Source organism: Homo sapiens, chromosome 3, assembly GCF_000001405.40.
Source record: "Homo sapiens chromosome 3, GRCh38.p14 Primary Assembly".
Taxonomy (NCBI): domain Eukaryota; kingdom Metazoa; phylum Chordata; class Mammalia; order Primates; family Hominidae; genus Homo; species Homo sapiens.
In genome coordinates, this window is record NC_000003.12 from 84,662,077 (window position 1) to 84,683,963 (window position 21,887).

At 33.9% G+C, this 21,887-nt stretch overlaps 1 long non-coding RNA gene across 1 annotated transcript in view; it reads right to left on the reverse strand.

The window, feature by feature from the left end:
- LINC00971 (long intergenic non-protein coding RNA 971) overlaps positions 1 to 21,887 on the reverse strand; it is a 231,171-nt gene that overhangs the window by 23,672 nt on the left and 185,612 nt on the right. The window contains exons 16-19 of the long non-coding RNA NR_033860.1: positions 21,533 to 21,602; positions 10,545 to 10,829; positions 9,508 to 9,627; positions 4,324 to 7,780 (exon numbers count right to left, since the gene is read on the reverse strand). This is a non-coding gene — a long non-coding RNA (long intergenic non-protein coding RNA 971). The remainder of the gene's footprint in view (positions 1 to 4,323; positions 7,781 to 9,507; positions 9,628 to 10,544; positions 10,830 to 21,532; positions 21,603 to 21,887) is intronic.

Consider the following 21,887-nt stretch of genomic DNA (forward strand, 5'->3'; position numbering starts at 1 on the left):
TATCTCCTAATGCTATCCCTCCCCCCTCCCCCCACCCCACAACAGGCCCCAGAGTGTGATGTTCCCCTTCCTGTGTCCATGTGTTCTCATTGTTCAGTTCCCACCTATGAGTGAGAACATGCGGTGTTTGTTTTTTTGTCCTCGCAATAGTTTGCTGAGAATGATGGTTTCCAGCTTCATCCACGTCCCTACAAAGGACATGAACTCATCCTTTTTTATGGCTGCATAGTAGTCCATGGTGTATATGTGCCACATTTTCTTAATCCAGTCTATCATTAATACTTTAATAATATTTGCTGAATGAACAAAAAAAGTAGAATGTGATGCAATGAACTGAAGGACATTCACACAACCAATTACAAATTAGCTTTCGCTTTCTATTTGTTTAATTTTACCCTACTTCTAAAGTACTGATGCAGTATGAGGAAAAAGGAAGAAAAAAACAATATATAACATACTAGGATAAACATTGGGGATCCTACCAGTCTGTGACCAGAAAATCATATGCTATCTTATTTATGTTTGTCATTCCGTCTCAGAGTAAAAGAAAGAAAAAGCAAATGTTGAATTAGAAGAGTATGTGACAGAGTGAACATTCTTTATGTCTTGCCAGCCTATCTTATTTATTCTAAGACCTTGAAAGCAAGGATCAGAAGAGGGAAGGTTATACTAATCTTTGGGAATTGACATCATTTTTTTCTTTTTTTTTTTTAATTATACTTTAAGTTCTGGGATAAAGGTGCAGAATGTGCAGATTTGTTACATAGATATACACGTGCCATGGTGGTTTGCTGCACCCATCAACCCGTCATCTACATTAGTTATTTCTCCTAATGCTATCTCTCCCCTTGCCCCCCACCCCCAGACAGGCCCTGGTGTGTGACATTCCCCTCCCCTGTGTCCATGTGTTTTCATTGTTCAACTCCCACTTATGAGTGAGAACATGCGGTGTTTGGTTTTCTGTTTCTGTGTTAGTTTCCTGAGAACGATGGTTTCCAGCTTCATCCACATCCCTGCAAAGGATATGAACTCATCCTTTTTTATGGCTACATAGTATTCCATGATGTATATGTGTCACATTTTCTTTATCCAGTCTATCATTGATGGGCATTTGGGTTGGTTCCAAGTCTTTACTATTGTGAATAGTGTTGCAATAAACGTAGGTGTACATTATAAATCATTCTACTATAATTGACGTCATTTTTAAAATAGAAGCCCATAGACCTACCCTACTTCTTTCTCAATTCACATCTCTGTATTTATACCTTGGATTAAAGTAACATAGCAACAGTAATTTGCTCTTTACAAAGAGCTACCTACTATTTTCTATTAATTTTATAAAAAAGTTTTTAAAAGGCTTATAAAAGGAGCTGGTATGACATTTTTATTAAAAATAATATGTTTAATTCATTTCTTAAATATATATAAATATATACATATATATACATATATATATATGCGCGTGTGTGTGTGTGTGTGAGTGTATTGCCCAACTTGTAGAAGAAAGTTAAACATACTTCATGTATTTAGCCCCATCCAGATATTCAACGCCTAGCACCTAATCTGGATTTCCCACACAGTACATTGTAATACCTATTTATTATTTTATAATAAATAATAACATTTATCACAAAGGCTGAAATCTTCAAATGCATGAGATTTTTCATTTTCTGTTTTAATGAGATCTGCAAGGGGAAATGAATACAAAATTTGCTTATCTTGCAAGGAATTAAAACAAAAGAAGGAGTTGGGTGTATCAAATGTTCAGTAGCATCAAGCTAGAAGAGTATCTCATCATCCATCTCACAGCTAAGAGAGCCTCATGAACAAGATGGGTAGGAAAATAATGAGGTGGATACAGGGGAGAAGGAGAGAGGAAGGGTAATGTGTACAGAGGGTTCAGGTTATTGGTTAAAACTCCATCCAAGAGAAATATCTGGATGGGTGCTGATAAAATTTATAGGTGTTACTTTCCTTTACCTATGATTTTACCACTGACCAACTTCCCCGATGAACATCTTATTCTTTTACTAGCTATATTAATATATTTATTCAGGTAACAGTTAAGTCACACAGGCCTTGAAAGTATTCTTTCTCTTTCCAGTGACCTACATATTTCCGCTCTGTTCTACTGTCATTATTTAACAGTTAATCTCTCAAAGAGCTGTTATACTTCACTTATTCCTGAATTCTTGAGGGAGATCTCATTACAACCCCAAGTTAACGATACTTATATTCATATATGAAATATTTCTCAGAAATTCTACTTATTAGTCCCTATTTATATAGTATAAAGAGTTTTCTTAAATACAGTCATACTGAACTAAAATTTATTGCTTAACCTACTAATTAGGCAAACTGTGTCTCCTAGAATTTGTAGTTCACAAATTCTAGGTAAAAGACCAAGTGTGTCTTCATTAATTTGATTTTGAAATTAATCATTCTCAACAAATGAAAATTTTATAATTAAATACATTTATTGAACAAATTGTCTTTCTGTTTGGTATGATAAAGGAGATTTTTCACCATTCTTACCAAGAATCCTTATATAAAGATCCATATGTGTCTGTCTCCTCTTTAGGAAATTAAATGACAAGACACGAAACATAAAAATTTTCCATATTAATTATAAATTCATACTTAACATACTTATTAAAATGATTTTATTTATGTAATGTAAGAATGATTATGACTGTGATTAACCACAAACAAAGTTCCAAAGCTTATTCTGTCAAAGCAAATTTCCTATCATACCTGTCAAGTTTAATCTTACTGAGATAGATAGTAACTTGTGAACTCCATTTCTAAATTTGCTGGAACCACTAGTGTGACTCTCAGTATTTACGCTGGCTTAAATACAGCTCATTGGTCCTATGTAACAAACATGCATGTCCTGAACATGTATCCTGGAACTATATATATATATATATATATATATATATATATATAAAAATACACACACACACACACACACATATATATAATATAGGTATAAATTTTATATTTATATATAAACCTTATATATAAATATATTTATATAGTTATATAATTATATATAACTACCTATATATATAGTAATTTAATGCATTTTTCAGATCTCAATACAATGATCATGTAAGAAGCCTTCTTTGACTTCGCTGAATTAATATTCATATCTACTACTGTTATATATATAGTTGAAGTTGAAGCCTATGCCCATAGCTGACAGCAGTTGTAATTGTACTAGTCAACTGCCTCCCAAGTTCAAAACTCAGCATCAGATTAACCCTATATTTTTGAAAACTAAACATAAAATAATGAGGTACAGAGAATTTAGACATCTCCACGTGTCTATGTTGCTTCTAACCCTTCAGCGGATATCATATCTATAGCTTTCTGATGGAAATCTAGAGGGGAAGAGTTATAATATATAATACATATATTATACTATTTGAAAGAATTTTCCTTGAAGTTTCAAGACATGGAAACAAATATGCCTTTCCCATGTGGCCTGTGAACTGGACTCTTGCTATTCAAAGCACGATTCATGGAACATCAGTAGCAGCATCAAGTGGGAGCCTGTTAGGAATGCAGAATTTCAGGTCCTATCCCACACATACAAAAGTAGATTTTACTTTTATCGAAATCCCCAGGCAATTCATATATGTACAATGAACGTTGAAAAGCAGTGGTCTAGGAAAACTTCCTCAAATATATAAATTACATTGCTTGTGAGTTTCTTAGAAATGTGTGTTAACTATGCATTTATTTCAATGAATTTAGGAGTTATAGCTGCATATTCATTTCTAGTTAAAAACATTAAGTTCAGTTCAGTGAGATAATTCAAATGTTTTTACTAAGCAAAACCCAAGACATCTTCAAGCTAAGCATTGCTAACATTAAATTTTAAACACAAATGTATTTCAAAGAGATTTAATCTATATATTTTGAGCTAATTCACACTTACATTTTTAAAGCACACTTTGATGTCTACACAATTTCAAGAGCTCTCTCTGTGTGTGTGTGTGTGTGTGTGTGTCTTTGTTCATACCAGGAACTTTAGAATGTTATGCATGAATCCTGAAATTTAAAACTAAAGTTTTAAAATGTATTTAACTTAGAAAACTATGATTTACAATTCCAGTCAAAATTAACATTACTTAAAATAATTTATTGCACCAAAGCTCCAAGATAAAGAAAAATCCATTTAAAGCAATCAATTTGCTAGTTTTAAGACTATGCAGCAAAATATAGTGATAGGCTTTGATTATGCAATTTTAAGTAAAATGTTAAAGCTATGGTGACATATGTGGGTGAATACTTAATTTTTTTCCCTCATATTACCTCTCAAGTAATTTGCAAATATTAAGGCTAAAAATGGGATCTTCTTCATAGGTAAGTCATTTAGATGTAGGCAAAAGATTGATAGTAACATCCTTAAAAAAAAGATCCAAAAAAGTGCAATAACTGCCAAATACCTGAGCAAAAGGTGGAGAAAAGAAAGGAAGAGACAATTAGTGGGGTGTAGGAAGTCTGAAAGGAGGCATAAATTATATAATCAGATCTATCATATTTCCCATAAAATGAGTAAGAGAGTTATATTAGCTTCCTCTGTAAATGAGTCAGGAATTGGCCAGGCCAGGCACATACTCATTTGTCTCCCTTTCACTAACATATTTGTCTTCTTTCTTCTTAAATCAAATGAATGATCAATATGATGTAGCTATGGGGATATTGACTTGGTTCTCTTATGGTCTCAGAGAATTAGCCTTACTGATATTTTGGTTGTATATAATTCTTATTTAAACTAATACTACCGAAGATAATAATCTATCATATAATTTTAAGGGCATGATAATTCAATGAAAAACAGATTTAATGAGAATTGCTACTTCTCTAAATTACCAATATACTCTCCTGATTTGTTTAAAGTTCATTGTGCAAAAAAAAAAAAAAGCATTTTATTATATTCTTTATTCTATGCTCAAAAGTTAACCAGAAAATGTGAACCAGGCTAGAATATGTCAACTGTCTTCTGCAAGCACTGCCAACTTGCAGGTCTGTAGTAGACGTATCTCTTACTTGGCTTTGTTTCATTCATTTCCTATTCTCCCTCTCTTCCATTCTTCCTTCATTTTTTCTTTACTTATTTTTAATAGGGCCAAACATTTAGTGAAAAAATCCAATCAAGAATTTAACCAAAACAAAGAAAATTTTAAGAACCTGATAGCAAGAACTCTGCCTTTTCTTTTTTTTATGTCTCTTCAGTCTCTAGCATGGTGCACTGTCAGGCTCTAGCATCATGCATTGTGAATGGCGGGGCCTTAATAAATGTGGCACCTTGTCCTTGGATTTCTTAAAGAGCCCCTCAAAGTCACACAGAAACAAGAACCAAAACTGGTCTATGTGAAACCAAATATTTGGACAATGCTGCAGTTGCTTAAGGTCAATTTTCACCATGCACCAAGCTAAAGTCTAGGGCCAGGTCCATTAAGCTTAGGTAACAAAACAGGTAGCAAGAATACTAAGTTTAACAAAATGTACTCCCTAAGGGAAATATGCTGTTTCTGCATATTACAGTTTCTTGCAATCCAGTTAATATTGCCCAAGTGCAATAATAGGAGCTTTATGCCCTACTTCTAATCCAAAATCACTAGTTTTTGACCACATTTTTTCCACTCCAATCTATTCAACTCCTGGGAATATGAGAGTAGAAGCCAAACTTTCTAAAGTCTTTACCTGACTCATATACTCAGGTATTTCACATTGTAGCCCCCAAGAGTTCTTATTAGTCCTAGGACCTGTCTAATGAACTTGGATATTGGCAATCTGCCTGGTAAAATCTGTAGATAAATTAACACTTTGTCCAGTCCTGATCTCCTGATATGGATCAGTCCTTTAAACTAATTTACTTATTTCCTACTGAACAGAACTATGAAATTAGATATAAACCTTAATGTGTCTCAGTTCAGGCTACCTTAAAAGAAACTGAAACATTGTAACTGTTACTGTTTGGAAATTTTAGTGTATTTGATTTTGAAGAAAAATAATCATCCAAAAGAGCTTGGCTGAGATCTGATGGATTTTTTTTTCTTCTAATCAAACTGCATATTTAATTGAAAGTAACTTCATACCTTCATTGAAGAACCAACACTCTATTTAATTTGGGGAGTAAATAAATATTTTATAGGTATTAGAAGATAAATAATAACACTTTGTTATGAAAACAACTTAAATTACTGGTTGGGTTTGAAACAGAGGTTGTAAAGTTACTGACTTTTCACTATATATCCTAATGAAACATTGATGTTTATACTATGAGCATGCATGTAGTATTTTTTTGAAAAAACAATAAAACATTAGCATTTTTAAATGGCCAAATCAAACCTCCAAGATAGAAATGATATTTTATTTAAATATAGAGAAATTACAGACAAGTATTACTATAGAATTTTTCTTGGCTATATTAAGCCAGTTTTCTTAAACCATTTTAAATAGCAATAAGATGTTGGAGAATTAAATGAAAATTACATATCAATAGATTCAGCAATTCTTTCTACAAAAGATAATAGGAAGGAGTAGGAGGAAATGAAGAAGCAGGTATCATTTTATCTTAAGAAAATGCAATGTGTTTTTCTTCCTTTTCTTTCAAAAAGCACAAAAAAGCAGCTTGCAGTGAAAGGGTTTGAAGAGGCTAAGAAGTTGTGTTGTTGTACATAATCCCACAGCATAGCATGAGGGATTAAATTACCAGTGATACAAACAAAGAAACTATACAGAAACAAAACAGAAAAACAAACAACAAATATACACATTATAAACAGACATGCAGCTACTTAGAACTTTGATGCAAAAAAATGCTAAATGTTGAAAACAAAATAAAAATATTTTTTTTAATTTAAAAAAGAAACATATGTTTATTTCCATGGCAATGAGCTATACTTATATCAAATAGAAGACTCGGAGTTTTCAAAGCGGTCCTAATTGGGTGGCTGTTTGGGAATCAGACTTCTTGAATTTGAATCCAGATTCTGCTTCATACTAGCTAAGCAAACATGGACAGTATATGTATATATAATCACTCTCTTCCTTCTCCATCCCTCCTCGAACTCTTCTTTTTAAAGATTGAGCTTGCAAGACAAAAAGACACACAGGCACAGACATACACATACACATATGTATATGTATGTGTGTATAAATATAATAGATATGTATATATTGTATATACTAGATATATGTATATATTAATACATGATCTATAATGTATTATTAGATATGTATATATTTTATATATACTACTATATAATACATATCTAATATTTTATTATATATGTAATATATTTTATACATCTAATATATATTATATATGCATACACATCTAATATATAACATATATACATATGTATATATTATGTATGCACATTTTATACATATATATAATGTCATGCCAGTAAAAAATTAAATCACAGAATTATATTTACATTGGCAGCCTTGCATAAATACCACGTTAACCCACAAGCTTTTTTTTTTTTCTTTTCTGGAATTAACATGCAAAAAATAAAGGGCAAGAATTTGGGGGATTCCTTGGTTTTAACATTTACTGCTTCAACTTACCTTTTTGAAGTAACGTCCACTTAACAAATCTCTAGTTACCTCAACACAATTAAAACTCACAATCACTGATCAAAAATTAACATAGTTTGTGTGAGAACATCACACAACACATCAGACCTCTCTAGGAGCATCACCCGCAGAGCTGTTAATGAACAAGCATCGAAGAACATGCCTTGACCTTGTTTCTCTAGATAGAGGGGAAAGAGTACAACACAAAGAGGACAAGAGTAAAAGTTAACCAAGCCAAGCTAGATTTAGAGAAGTTATACATAAATGCAACTTTCTGAGAAATAGTGAATGATGCAATGACCATATCAGGGAAACTATATTCATCATTCAAATAGCCAAAAAAGCCCTAAGAATTCTATCTCATTGCACAAATACAGAGACAATAATAGACAGTCAGATATGTGTATGTGTTTCATCCCCCAAACTGCTACACATTATAGCTGCAGGCAAGGCAATTTAGTGGTTGAGAACTGCAAACTTGTGTCACTCTAACCCTAATACCTAATACCTGCAGAGAACTCAGATTTCAATGTGTATTACTAATATAATGCTCTCACAAATTAGACAATGTTTAAATTGTTTATGTTTTTATTTTTCTTCATGAAAGAAGGCTATGATACTGTTACTCTAATATTTAAATATTAAAAAAACTACATTATAAGAGTTGTAAGTGGAAAAGTAAGGAAGTAAACACTTCAGTATAAAAGATGAAAGAAATCCAGAAGACCAGAATATGTCCACAAATACACTAAAAATAAAGCAATTTTTAAATAACTATGTATTGGTGGTGCACAGAATCAATTCTCTGGACAATATCTCTACTATATTTAATGGAAGACCTGTTTGGGGACATTGAATGTCAAATTATCTTCTCTTAAATATTCCTCACCTGATATAAATTACCACCATCTTAGTTCAGAGAACTGTGCTTTTGAATAAACTATGGATTTTCTTCCTTATGTTCTCTCAATACCAATGATAATAGACAGGAAAATATATACCATATGTTTCTGTTAATTAAGCTTCCTCGCTTATAATCCATTCCAAGAACTGAAGGAAAATATCAATTCGGGAGTCTCCAGATATTATTAATTAATGGTTAAATCGTTTCTATTACTCTAATAAATATGATTTTTTATTTGAAAGAGCTCCTTTATTTAAGAATTTGTTAACATATAATAGATTCTCCCTTGATAATAATGATAACCAAACTAGAGCATGGGGAATTTCACCAAAATTACTTGTAATTTTTTAGCAAATTTGAACCAAAATACCATTATCCCAATTCATAAATTGATATATAATTAATTGGTATTATTACTGAGTATTTGGGCATGCTCGAAAGAGAAAAAGGTGATTAGAATTCTGAGTTCTACCTATTCCTATGCTTATTACATTTGCTTGGTGGAAAATTGAGCACCAGTGGATATTTGTATTAAATGAAGAGCCACGCACTCTTGAGTCACTCTTCCCTTCATTGGGAGGTGTAGTAGGGTCCCTGGAGCAACACTGAGAATTTTGACACATGTAGAACAAACACTTGTTGCTTTTTGTGGCCCAGCTTGGTCTGAAGGGACTCAGGCACACTATGCCCTTGGATGGTCATAACAAAGCTGAACAACAGATTAGTCGCAAATTTGATCACTGAGACACTGACTCTCAAAATATTAATTGAATGCCTTCTGTGAACCTAGCTCTCCATATTAGCAAAAGTTGTCTGGTGTGAGTACTGTTTTTATAATGCCTCCATGGCAGAACTGAACACCAGGTCCTGGGTACATACTGTGGCCACACATATCAATAAATGTTTGAAAAACTAAAAATAACAAGTTTTGGTTAGATTTTTAGAAAGAGAGCATAGATTAGTGGAATGAAATTTCTTTTAAAAGAGTCAGTATGGCTTACTGGTTAAACAATCTTTGGATTAGACAACCTGGATCCCCAAGCTGACTCTGCCACATATAATCTTCAATAATTCAGTGAATATCTCTACACATCACTTTCTTGTGAAGAAGAATAAACCTCCTGTGTATAATACAGGTGGAAAATAAATTAGATGCTATATATGAAACAATTCACACCTAGGATGAGGCTGGCATATGATAAGCATGTAATAAATATTAGCCACTATGATTAGGTTCCAAGTAATACGCATTAAAGGATATGGAGAATTAGCACAGACAGAGGAACAAAGGAAAGGCATTTCAGGCGGTGGCCAGAGTATTATTAAAGACTTAGAATAAAGAAATTCTTTGCATGCCCTTCATCACCCTGTATGATCTATTTGCTACCCAGCTCTCTGAGGTCCTTTCAAGCCATCTCAACTACCTTCATTGTAACTGAGCTACTTTGGCATTCATTCTGTTGAACACGCTCAGAATATCCTCATCTCCAGACTGTCACACACATTCTCTTCAACTTCTCCTGTCTAAACCATGTTCATACTTCAGGTTTTTGCTTAATGTCTCTTCTTCTGGAAAGCCTTTGCTGAAACATAAATTAACCCCAAATGCAGTGCCTTCTATTTATTTAAATTCTCACTGCATTCCGAAAAACAAAATCACAGTTAGGAACATATCCGTGTAATTTTTAAAAACATTTTGGTTCTTCTACTGAACTGTGAATCCCATGGGCATAAGAACTGTATCTGTGTTATACACCAGTATAACCTCAGAGCCTAAAATAACATCTAACAGAGTAAAGAGTCACTGTATACCGCTAATATGTGAATGAATACACAGATGCGTGTGCAATAAGTCTTCAATCTTTTCCAATGTAATTTGGAGATTGACTTAGGTAAAATAAAGTGTTTAAGTTGTAAAATAATATCATATAAGCTACATAGAATCAATTGACAGAGAGCCTTGATTATTAGTCTAATTAATTAGTTTGTAAGAAAAAGTAAAGTTTTTTATCTTTTATTGTTTATTTGATTCACGTACCTTTGTGTAACATTGGTTGTGCAGTTTTATATCTGTCCTCATGTACCCTACCAAATCCTTCCATTCATGAATATATCTTGTTATTCTTTAGAAGGTGGATTCAATGTCTTCATATCAAATATTTTCCCAACCACATGACAATCTGTGCTGAAATTATTGGTATTAAGGTAATTTCCTTTTTTCTCAACACCAGCTGTCCCTCAATGCACATTCAAAACTAGCATCACACTTATGAAGTAGCTGGGGCTTCTCCAACTCGAAATGACCTAGACTTCATATTTATACCTTATCAAAGGAGATAAATGTAATAATGCTTTTAAAACAAAACTCTATGTGAACCATTTTTTTAATTTCTTCTTTCTTACATACTTTTATATCTTTTCACTTTATAGGCTCTTGGTTCATATTAACTAAACACTTATCTATCAAATATTTGCTGATCCCATCATTTAGCAGGCCCAAGGTTAGCATTAGAGATACAAAAAGAAGAAATAAATAATATTTGTTTTTTACAATGTCCACAGGCATATGACAAAAACAGACAATAATATTTTATTAAAATATAATGGCTATGCAAAAGTATGCACACTATTTATGAATATCTAGCATCCCTGGGGAAATAGGGGAAAAATTTAAAAGTACTTTGAGAATATAGATCATAGTCCATCATGCTATTTTACTAAATATTCTTCTCCCTGTGTCCTCGCATATTCTATTTTTTTTTTTTTTTTACTGACATGGAAACATAACAGACATTAATTAAATTTTTTTAGTAACTAACAACAAAATCATGTGCATATGTTATTTTAAGAACACAAAAACAAAATTAATAAGATTATCTATTTGAGAAACATTATCTGTAAAATTAAACACATATTTTTAAAAAATGATCTTTATTTGTTCTACTATTAATACTTATTGATCAAAAAACAGTTACTCTAAAAAGATCATTTAATATTTTAATCTTTAGAACTTTGAAATGGACAAGAAACATAAAGCTGTTTTCATAAAAATGCATCCCAATGCTATAAAATTATGAATAAATTAAAGAATGCATTAAAGCAGATACCTTAATCTTACTCTATAGATAATTATTTCTTTTGTACGTATCTTTTAGCACTGCGTTTTTTAAGTAAACGTTTTTCACTTTAAATTCATCAAACTGAGTCTCAAATGATTTAGAATAAAGAAAGTTTGAGCACAGACAGGACAGCTGAACAAAAACATAAATTTCCCCAAATATTATGACCTGCCTTTAGGCAGAGAACAAAGTTATAACAGCCTAAGGCCCCTCATTCAAGAATTATTCTTTGTACAAATAAATTCAAACAGAGAATCCTTCACTTTCCTAATATTCTTGGGAATTCTCATTCTTCTCCCTTACTCCTGCCAACAGCAGATCTCACTTGCTACCTAAAATTTTCTCCTCACCGATCCATGCCTCATCCACACAAAATTTCCTGGAACTATTACAGCAAGGTAATAGTACCCTTACAGCAAGGGTAAGGTTCTCCATGGTTGAAATGATAATGCTAAAAGATGAATCAAGAGACTAAAAACAAAATCCCTTTACTCTTACTGACCTCAGCTCTTCCATCAATGGCATGTTTCTGTGCTTCCCCTTTCATCGTCCTGAGCTTGTGAGTGATGTTGAGTGCCAGAGACAGAATTTTTAAAAAAGGCATTGTTAAACTCATTGCTCAGTCATCTGTTTCTCAAGCCCAAAATCTGAGAAACTGAGGAATAAGGTCGAAGAGGTCTCATTTTATAAATCTGATTGTAAATGCAAAACACTATTTAATTCATTACTTGTTAATTGACAGTATTTAGGCTCACCCAGGGATATTTTAGGTTTATGCTTACTAGGATTATAGGGAGTTTAGAAAAGTGATACTTCTAATGGTTAAGGTGAAGCATACCTATTTTTCCTGTTTTATATTTGCTAGCTCTTCTAAGAGTAAAGGGATACTTTATTTTAAAATAGTGAGATCTCCAGGTAACAACTGAAATTTGAGCTTTCGTATTTATAAAGGTCATGAATATTTGCCAATTGGTGAATTTAATCAGATTTTAAAGTTAATTGAAAACCTACATTATAGAGGCATAAAATTTAATCAGCACCCTTCTATCTATTTGTCGTATACATTCTTTTAGTCAGTTTCAGATTTTGAATTGGACCAAGTTGTAGACCTTTGTTTCAGTTTTTTGTTTTTAGGTAATTACCAGATATAATTTGAGGAATTTTTCTATATCCTCCTGATATTTATAAATGTCTTCCTCCAGAGAGTTTCAGATCAGTATGTAAGTATTCAGGACCTCCCTCAAGGCAATGGTAGCTTTGTGGGTTTTAAGGGCTCATAGCTGAAGTCAGGCTTGAATTGACCCCTTTGCTTTGTCACAAGTGTGTCATCGGTGTTTTTTCCTATATCCCTGAGTATAAAGATTTTTTACTTTTATGTCTATTTTTTGCAACAGAGGCAAAAGGGCCTAAGGCACATCGTCTACTTAGGAGTGTGGCCCTCCACAGGTTACACACTACTACCAATGGGCCTTCATTCTTTCTCCTGAGCATTCGATAGAATGGGAGTCAGTGCCAGGTTGAGACACAATCAATTATTACAGGGAAAGAGTCATTCCCTTGTGCCTACTGTTAGTCACGGTTTATGCTGGACTTGAGACACACAGATATTTCCCAGCCAAGACACAGGGACTACAGTCATTTTAGGAGAGTTCTAATTCCATACTACTCTCTTTAAATGTGTATTATCAAAACTTTCAACCTGGGTCAGTTAAATCTTTACACTGTTGGTGGAAATGTAAATTAGTTCAACCATTGTGGAAGACAGTGTGGCAATTCCTTAAGGATCTAGAACCAGTAATATCATTTGACTCAGCAATCCCATTACTGGGTATATGCCCAAAGGATTATAAATCATTCTACTATAAGACATATGTACATGTTTTATTGCGGCACTATTTACAACAGCAAAAACATGGAATTCAACCCAAATGCCCATCAATGATAGACTGGATAAACAAAATATGGTACATATACACCATAGAATACTGTGCAACCATAAAAAGAAATGAGATCATGTCCTTTGTAGGGACATGGATGAAGCTGGAAACCATCATATTTAGCAAATGAATACAGGAACAGAAAATCAAACACCACATGTTCTTACTCATAAGCAGAGGTTGAACAATGAGAACACATGGACACGGGGAGGGGACCAACATACACCAGGGTCAGATGGGGGGTGGGGATTGAGGGAAGGGAGAGCATTAGGACAAATAGCTAATGCATGTGGGTCTTAAAACCTAGATGACGGGTTGATAGGTATAGCAAACCACCATGGCACATGTATACCTATGTAGTAAACCTGCATGTTCTGTGCTTGTATCCCAGAGATTGAAGTAAATTTTTTACAAAAATTAAAAATGTTGAAAAAAAATGTTAACTTGGAAATAACCAAAAATACAAACAAACAAACAAACAAAAATCTATAAGAATAACTTATGCACAGAACAGCAGGGCTCAAAGCTAACACTAGCCAGCAGCCAACAGCTCCGTGTGCATGCTTGCCAGCAGGCAACAAAACCAATTAGCAAGCACTGGAAGAAAGACAACCCCCTTACAGATTGCGGTGATACTGGTCATTGTTTGGACATCCTTCTCACACCCCACAGAAGTTGGATGGATCTCCACACACCTAACTTTTGGTTAAGGTTTGTAACTGATTATGCCACATCTACATCAACAGGTTATGAAACGCTTTATAACTAACATAAAGAAGCTTTCTACAACAGGCAGGGCAACCTCCCACACAGGTCCAAAAACAGTGTCTTAAGAAAGCAGAGAAAGGAGATTGGCTTGACTTTTATTATGATTAGTAGATGGGTCTAGGGTGAGGGTTCTCATGAATGAGATAGGGCTTGCATGGTTTGAAATTCCTGCCCTTGCCAAAGAAGAGAGCACCTAGTCTTTCTGATCAGCTTGACCATCTGTGAAGTAGAGGAGAAAGGAGAGTGGTAGGGGTTGAACACTGTCAGCACTCAGACATCAAAAATGAACTCAGAGTCTTTATTAACATTTCAAGTGAATTTCCTACTTCAAGGTCTTTGAAACTACTAGTTCCTTTCCCATGAGTTATCCTTCAACCGATCAAAATGTAACAAGATGTTGATGATTTCTTCCACTGTTCTAAAATCATGGCTTAAGCTGATGCTATAGAGCCTTAAGTACTTCATGAGAGAGATGCAAACCATCAAAATAATTGAGAGGTATAAGTCAGGGAATGGACTGTGTCATCTCTACTTATCCTTATTGATTACTGTGGGATGAAAATCAGAAAACAAGGCTAGCTGACATTTCAGAGAGTTCCCTGTTCATGGAAAGTGAGCCATCACTTAGAAGACATGGAAAGGGGCTCTGTGAGATTCCTCTGTAAAGACTGGTAGAAGAAAAAAATAATTCTTTTTTTTTATTTCCAATAATTTATTTTTATTTTATTTATTTTTTTATTTTATTATTATTATACTTTAAGTTTTAGGGTACATGTGCACAATGTGCAGGTTAGTTACATATGTATACATGTGCCATGTTGGTGTGCTGCACCCACTAACTCGTCATTTAGCATTAGGTATATCTCCTAAAGCTATCCCTCCCCCCTCCCCCCACCCCACAACAGTCCCCAGAGTGTGATGTTTCCCTTCCTGTGTCCATGTGTTCTCATTGTTCAATTCCCACCTATGAGTGAGAATATGCGGTGTTTGGGTTTTTGTTCTTGCGATAGTTTACTGAGAATGATGATTTCCAATTTCATCCATGTCCCTACAAAGGACATGAACTCATCATTTTTTAGGACTGCATAGTATTCCATGGTGTATATGTGCCACATTTTCTTAATCCAGTCTATCATTGTTGGACGTTTGGGTTGTTTCCAAGTCTTTGCTATTGTGAATAGTGCCGCAATAAACATACGTGTGCATGTGTCTTTATAGCAGCATGATTTATAGTCCTTTGGGTATATGCCCAGTAATGGGATGGCTGGGTCAAATGGTATTTCTAGTTCTAGATCCCTGAGGAATCGCCACACTGACTTCCACAATGGTTGAACTAGTTTACAGTCCCACCAACAGTGTAAAAGTGTTCCTATTTTTCCACATCCTCTCCAGCACCTGCTGTTTCCTGACTTTTTAATGATTGCCATTCTAACTGGTGTGAGATGGTATCTCATTGTGATTTTGATTTGCATTTCTCTGACGGCCAGTGATGGTGAGCATTTTTTCATGTGTTTTTTGGCTGCATAAATGTCTTCTTTTGAGAAGTGTCTGTTCATGAGAAAAAAATAATTCTTATTCTTTGTTTATGCATCTGCCTAGAAAGAGGACTTAATGATATGCTCCTGTGCTAAACAGAAAAATAAAAAGGAGAATTTGGAGAACAGAGGGAGATAGACAGCGGCAAGACATAAAGGGAGCTAGAATCAGCTCCTTTAAGTGAATAAGAGAAGCATTCTGCAGGGATCCATCATCATAGAAGGACAGACAAAACTGAAAGAGAGTTTGGTCATTTCACATCCAGATTTGGGGAGTGAAGGGAGAAAAGAGATATGGGCATTAGAATAATACACTATAAAAGTCATCAGCTAAAGGTCAGCTAAGACATGAATCCAAACCAAGATGTTCAAAATGCCTAGAGGAGCTGCACAGAAATGAACACCTTATCAGCATGATGTGTTAAAATTCCCAAACAACAACAACAAAAAATAGTTCTTACAGTCCAGCAAGGAAAAGATGTATATCCTGCCCAGGAGAATTAAGAAGACATTGAATAGTTTAATGTGTAGCAAGCAAGTCAAAGTCTTAAATGGGAAAGTCAGATGATTCCAGCAACTAAAATAGACCAAAGAAGTTCTTGAATCTGTTCTTTTTGTGACCTGTTATTTAGGAGAAAATTTCATTAAAAAGGTGGCATCTGAGTATAGCTATGAAAACATAAAACTTAAACAAAATGATTCCAAATATATTCACATAACTGGATCCTTCTCAGGCTTCAGCTCTTGGGCTATGTGTTTTGTCTCTATAGGGTTATCTCTGACCACTGTAATTAAGTGTTTTGTATCTGCCGTCATGGGTAGTTGAGTTGAGAAGGTATAATACACAAATGGATTCTGAAACTACGGCTTTCTCTCTTTTATACACCTGTGTACACATGCACATGCACAGGTGCATGCACACACGCACGCACACACACACACAGTTGCATACAGTTATCCAAATATGTGTATTATAGGAGATGTGATCATCCTTAACCATGGGGGGTTTATAGAGTAAGAAAAGTAGAAGTCTACAGTCTGAATGAACATTGAGAAAAATCAACATTTGTTAAAGAACTTCTCATAGAGAAATGAGAGGAGGCAGAGTTAAGAAGTTACAAGTTGAATCAGAATAAGATAGAGTCAAGTTCAAAGAAAAGTGAAGAAGGGAAGAGTAATCCAGAGTGTCAAATCCAGCAAAAAGTTCTTCTGAGATAAATACTAAGACATTCCATTGCATGTAGCTTTTCACAGATCTAATTATCTAACAAGAGACATTTGATTAAAAATTTGAGATAAGGAGTTTGACTAGTAAATGGGAATGGAAAAATGTTGTTGAATACCAGTCAGGAGGATGTATGAATGTCCTATACATGGGGAAAAAATTTTAAGCTATATATCAATAGAAACTTAAACAAGTGAAAAATACTTTCTCTAAGCTTTTAAAGATCTCAGGTGAAAAATGTCATGTTAGCAAAATATTTCATTAGAAAAATTGGATATTGGTTTGGCTCTGTGTCTCCACCCAAATCTTACATCAGATTGTAATTCCCCATGTTGGGGGATGGACCTGGTGGGAGGTGATTGGATCATGGGGGCAGACTTCCCCCTTCCTATTCTCATGATACTGAGTTCTCATGAGATCTGGTGGTTTAAAAGTGTGTAGCACCTCCCACTTTGTGCTCTCTCTCTCTCTCTCTCTCTCTCTCTCTCTCGCTCTCTGCCACCTGAAGAAGTGCTTACTTCCCTTTCACCTTCTGATGATGGTATGTTTCTGGAGGCCTCCCAGCCATGCTTCCCATATGGCTTTCAGAAGTGTGAGTCAATTAAACCTCTTTTCTTCATAAATTACCCAGTCTCAGGTAGTTCTTTGTAGCAGCGTGAGAAAGGACTAATACAGGTATCTGTTGCATAATTTCCGCAAAAGATCATTTTTGACTGGTTTGCAACTTTTGACATCATCCATTGATAATAACTCCAAGAAAGCTATAATGGAATACTGCCTGAGTCATACTCCAGGATTGGGAACTGGCTAGCTGTAGAACTAGTGAAAAGTATTTTTTTTTCTCTGGATCTCAGTTTATGGATTAGGTTTTTATTAAAATTCTAGATTTTATATTTTATTATACTCACATGTCCAAAAATAATTCCTATTCCTACACAGTGTAGGGAAGCTAGACTGCCTTTACTTATATTCCTGCTCTGCCATATAGAAGCTATGCAACTTTGGGCAATTGGCTTATGCTCCTACTGTCTCAGTTTCCTCATTAAGTAAATGGAGAAAATTATAATAATAGTCACTTCATAAGGTTATGAGAATAAATATTATATGTAAAGGTTTTCATAGAGTGCCTAGCCTAAGGTAATTGCTCCATAAATTTTATCTTTCATTATATTTTAATAACACACACTTATAGAATACTATAAAGTATATATAAACATAAATACATATGAGCTCTTATCTGTGTGTTTGTGTATACATATAAAGAAAGATAAACACATCTATAGTCCTATTTAGTGTACGTGAACATATATTTCTTTAAAAATATTTAACAAATTTGTACTTTATAAAGTTATTTTTCATAAAATCTACATGTGTAAATAGGAAGCTCAAAAAGTAGAATTTCTAGTTGTCCAACATTCTCACAAGAGGGGAAAAAGATTATTTTCATGACTGGAAAAATACAAGTACTTTTAGACAAATATGTACTGGAAACTATAATCCACTTTCCTTTCCTACCATTGCACTGACAGCATTATGAACCAGAAAATTGTTTGAGCAGCCACAGATAAGGAATTACAAATCTAGAGGTTCAAGAGTCCTATAAAGCAGATGTAAGGTTAATTTGCATGGTTTAGTTGCCTCCCATATTTTTTCAATATATTTCAATGGCTTGAGACTCTGAAAAACTGATAGCAAATAAAAAGGTTTCTATAGGCTGCTAGATTTCATGCTGACTCAGCTGTCTGAGGGCAAAGCCAATTACTATGGCTTGCATTTCCTTGTGCAGAAACCAGAACATATTCATTGTTAAATAGAGCCATTAAATATTTAGGGGAGGGTGAAAAGTTTTATGAATTGAGATAATAACAGTGAAAAACTACCAAGGATATTTTTCTCTTAAACAACAAGAAAACACTTTTCTAAGAGTAACTTGAAAATCTCAAGCATGAAATATGATTTGATTTAATATCCTTTCAATAGTCTTTTTAAATGTTGATTTTTTAGGTTGGTGTATAAGAAAAAAAAAATCCTCTGATATAAAGCTAAATTTTCTCTTCAGAGTAATAAAAGAACCAATATGGTCTCCTGAACAAAGGACTAACTGAAGAATTGGGATTCTATTTTTGGCTTCACCAGTGACTTGCTCAGTGACCTTGGACATATCACTTAAATGACTTTGTGCCTCAAGGTTCCCAGCTTTAATATAGAGATTATAATGCCTGCCTCTACTTCATGAGACTGTAGAACTATTTCAGTTGAGTTTGTTAAAAACCCCAAAAGCTTTGGAAACAATCAGAAATAACTGTGAAATTCAAAGTTGTATTTTATTAATTTCTTTTTACTATTTGCTTTTGTTTTCTTGTAGTCTTCTATAATCCTTTTCCTACTAAAACAAATCACTGTGATAAAATTAATAGATGGAGATTTTCATTAGATATTAAAAAACGTTTCTAACAGTGAAGTAAAATTAAGAATACACTTCTGAGATCAATTGATATAATTTCTACTCTTCAGTATATTTAAAACTCATGATTCAAAAGATAATAATATTGTGATCATGTAACAGAACTTCTAACTAAATTTGTAATTGACAGTTTTTGTCTAATGCTGGGTCTCCTCACAATTTCTCTCTATGATTTCATTCAATCAATATTGTCTTCTAAGGTCTTTATAAATGCACTGTATTTCATCTCCAAATCCAGAAAACCCATCAATGTTGCTCCCAAATGCCGTGCTTTTTCTAGATTCCTCTGCATAGCAATTTGCATAAAAAAGTAAAAAATTGTGCTCTCCAAAAAAAAAAAAAAAAAATTTGTCCTCCACCACGAGGTTCTGCATAGTGGGAGGACTTTAAGTAAAAGAGACATGTTTTAACTTTTTGTACCCTTTTGCAATTTTTTTCTATTTTTGAACCATATACATTTATCAGTTGTTCAAAATTAATTAAATATTATTTTTTCAAAGTTGTTCTTCTTAAACTCCAAGTTAGAAGTCCCTACCCCAACCACAGAATTATCTTTTTTGCTCCTCTCTCACAGTATTTCTTAGAGTCTTGGACTCTATGCCATAAAATCTTGGAATCAAAGAAGACTCAAAATTTTTCACCTACAAATTGGAGGAGCCTCAGTCATCCTTTCTCCTGTCATATCACTTTAGTGTATCCTCCACAGTGTTTCCAGAATGCATTTTCTAAAATAAGAATATATGTACAATCAACTCTCCTTCTCTGCTCAAAACAATCTGATGGTATCTCCTTTATTCCTAGACAAAAGTTTTAACGTGGTACACTCATCATCTATGATCTTGCACTTTAATACCTTTCAGATCTCTTACAATCCTCAATAAATACCATATTCATTTCTGCTTCTCTGTCTTTCTATATAATATTCTCTCTGGCTAGATGGACCTTTATCATATACTCATGTGGCTAACAAATTCCAATTTCACACTCAGTTAAAAAACATTTACCATTCTGAAGCCTGCTCTAAAACTTTGCAAAGATCAATGATACCCAATGTGTTCATGATCATTCAGAGGCATGCACAGAGTAGCAAAATATTTGAGTTGCCCCAGGTACATGTCCCCTGCCTACGTCAAACAAGGAGACATTCCACCTTGTTGTTTTAGTCACATACTGCAAGAAAATGTTGTTTTTTCTTTTTCAGTCTATTTGGTGTCACATTTTTTTACACATTGTATACATTAAATCTTTACATATTTACATATTGAGTGTATCTATTTTATTTGTATCAAAACACTGGCTTCAGCCATATATTTAAGACCTCTTTCATTTCCACAATAGCACATTTTTTACACACATTTCTAACTTTCTGGTCATTTCAGTTACAAAGTACTTTTCGTTGTTGATATTGCTGTTTAAAAATGACCTCCAAGCATAATGCTAATGTGATGTCTAGTGTTCCCAAGTATAAAAAATCATGATGTGCCTTTGTGAGAAAATACGTGTTCGATAAGCTGCATGCAGGCATGACTTAGAGTGATACTGGCTGTGGGTTTAATGCTAATGGATCAATTACAAATTAAATATGATGTCCTTAAAAACACACACATAAAACACAGTTATGCACTGATAAGTTAATTAAAATGCTATGATCAGAGGCTTTCAGGAACCTAATTCTGTATTTTCCTTAGGAGCAATGGTTCTCTATTTGAAAACTCAATGTTTGTGGTAACTTTCTAGAACACAACTACCACAAATAATTAGAACTGATTGTATATATTTTATTTGTATCCAAACACTACCTACAGTCATATTTTTAAAGACCTCTTTCAATTTCCTAATAGTACATATCTTGCATACGTTTCTAATTTTCTGGTTACTTCAGTTATAAATAAAAGTGTGGCCAACCTTAAAGCATCAATCAAATGCATCCATTTAATGGTCACCTCCTTATATCCCCAAAATCTAGCCAGATATCTACCTTAAGAGTGGGAGGAAAGCTGCAGTTCTTTTACTCTTCCTCTTCTCACGAATCTAGGTTGTTTTTACCTCTGTTGACAAGGAAGGGAACATGTGATTATGTGGGAGCTGCTGTACTTCCCTCTTCTTTGTCCTTGATGCTCTTGGTAAGACTAACTGGCCGTTGATATTGTCTCTGTGGCAGCCATCCAAATGCTGGCTGCCTTTTCAAACCCAAACTTGCACTCTGCACTAGAAAACTAATGAACACTTTCTTCAGTAACTGCCACATCTTTGTCTTCCTTTAATCATGGTATTATTTCTATTTTGTGTACTTGCCCTTCTATTACCATGGTAATGATTAATGTTATCCTTAG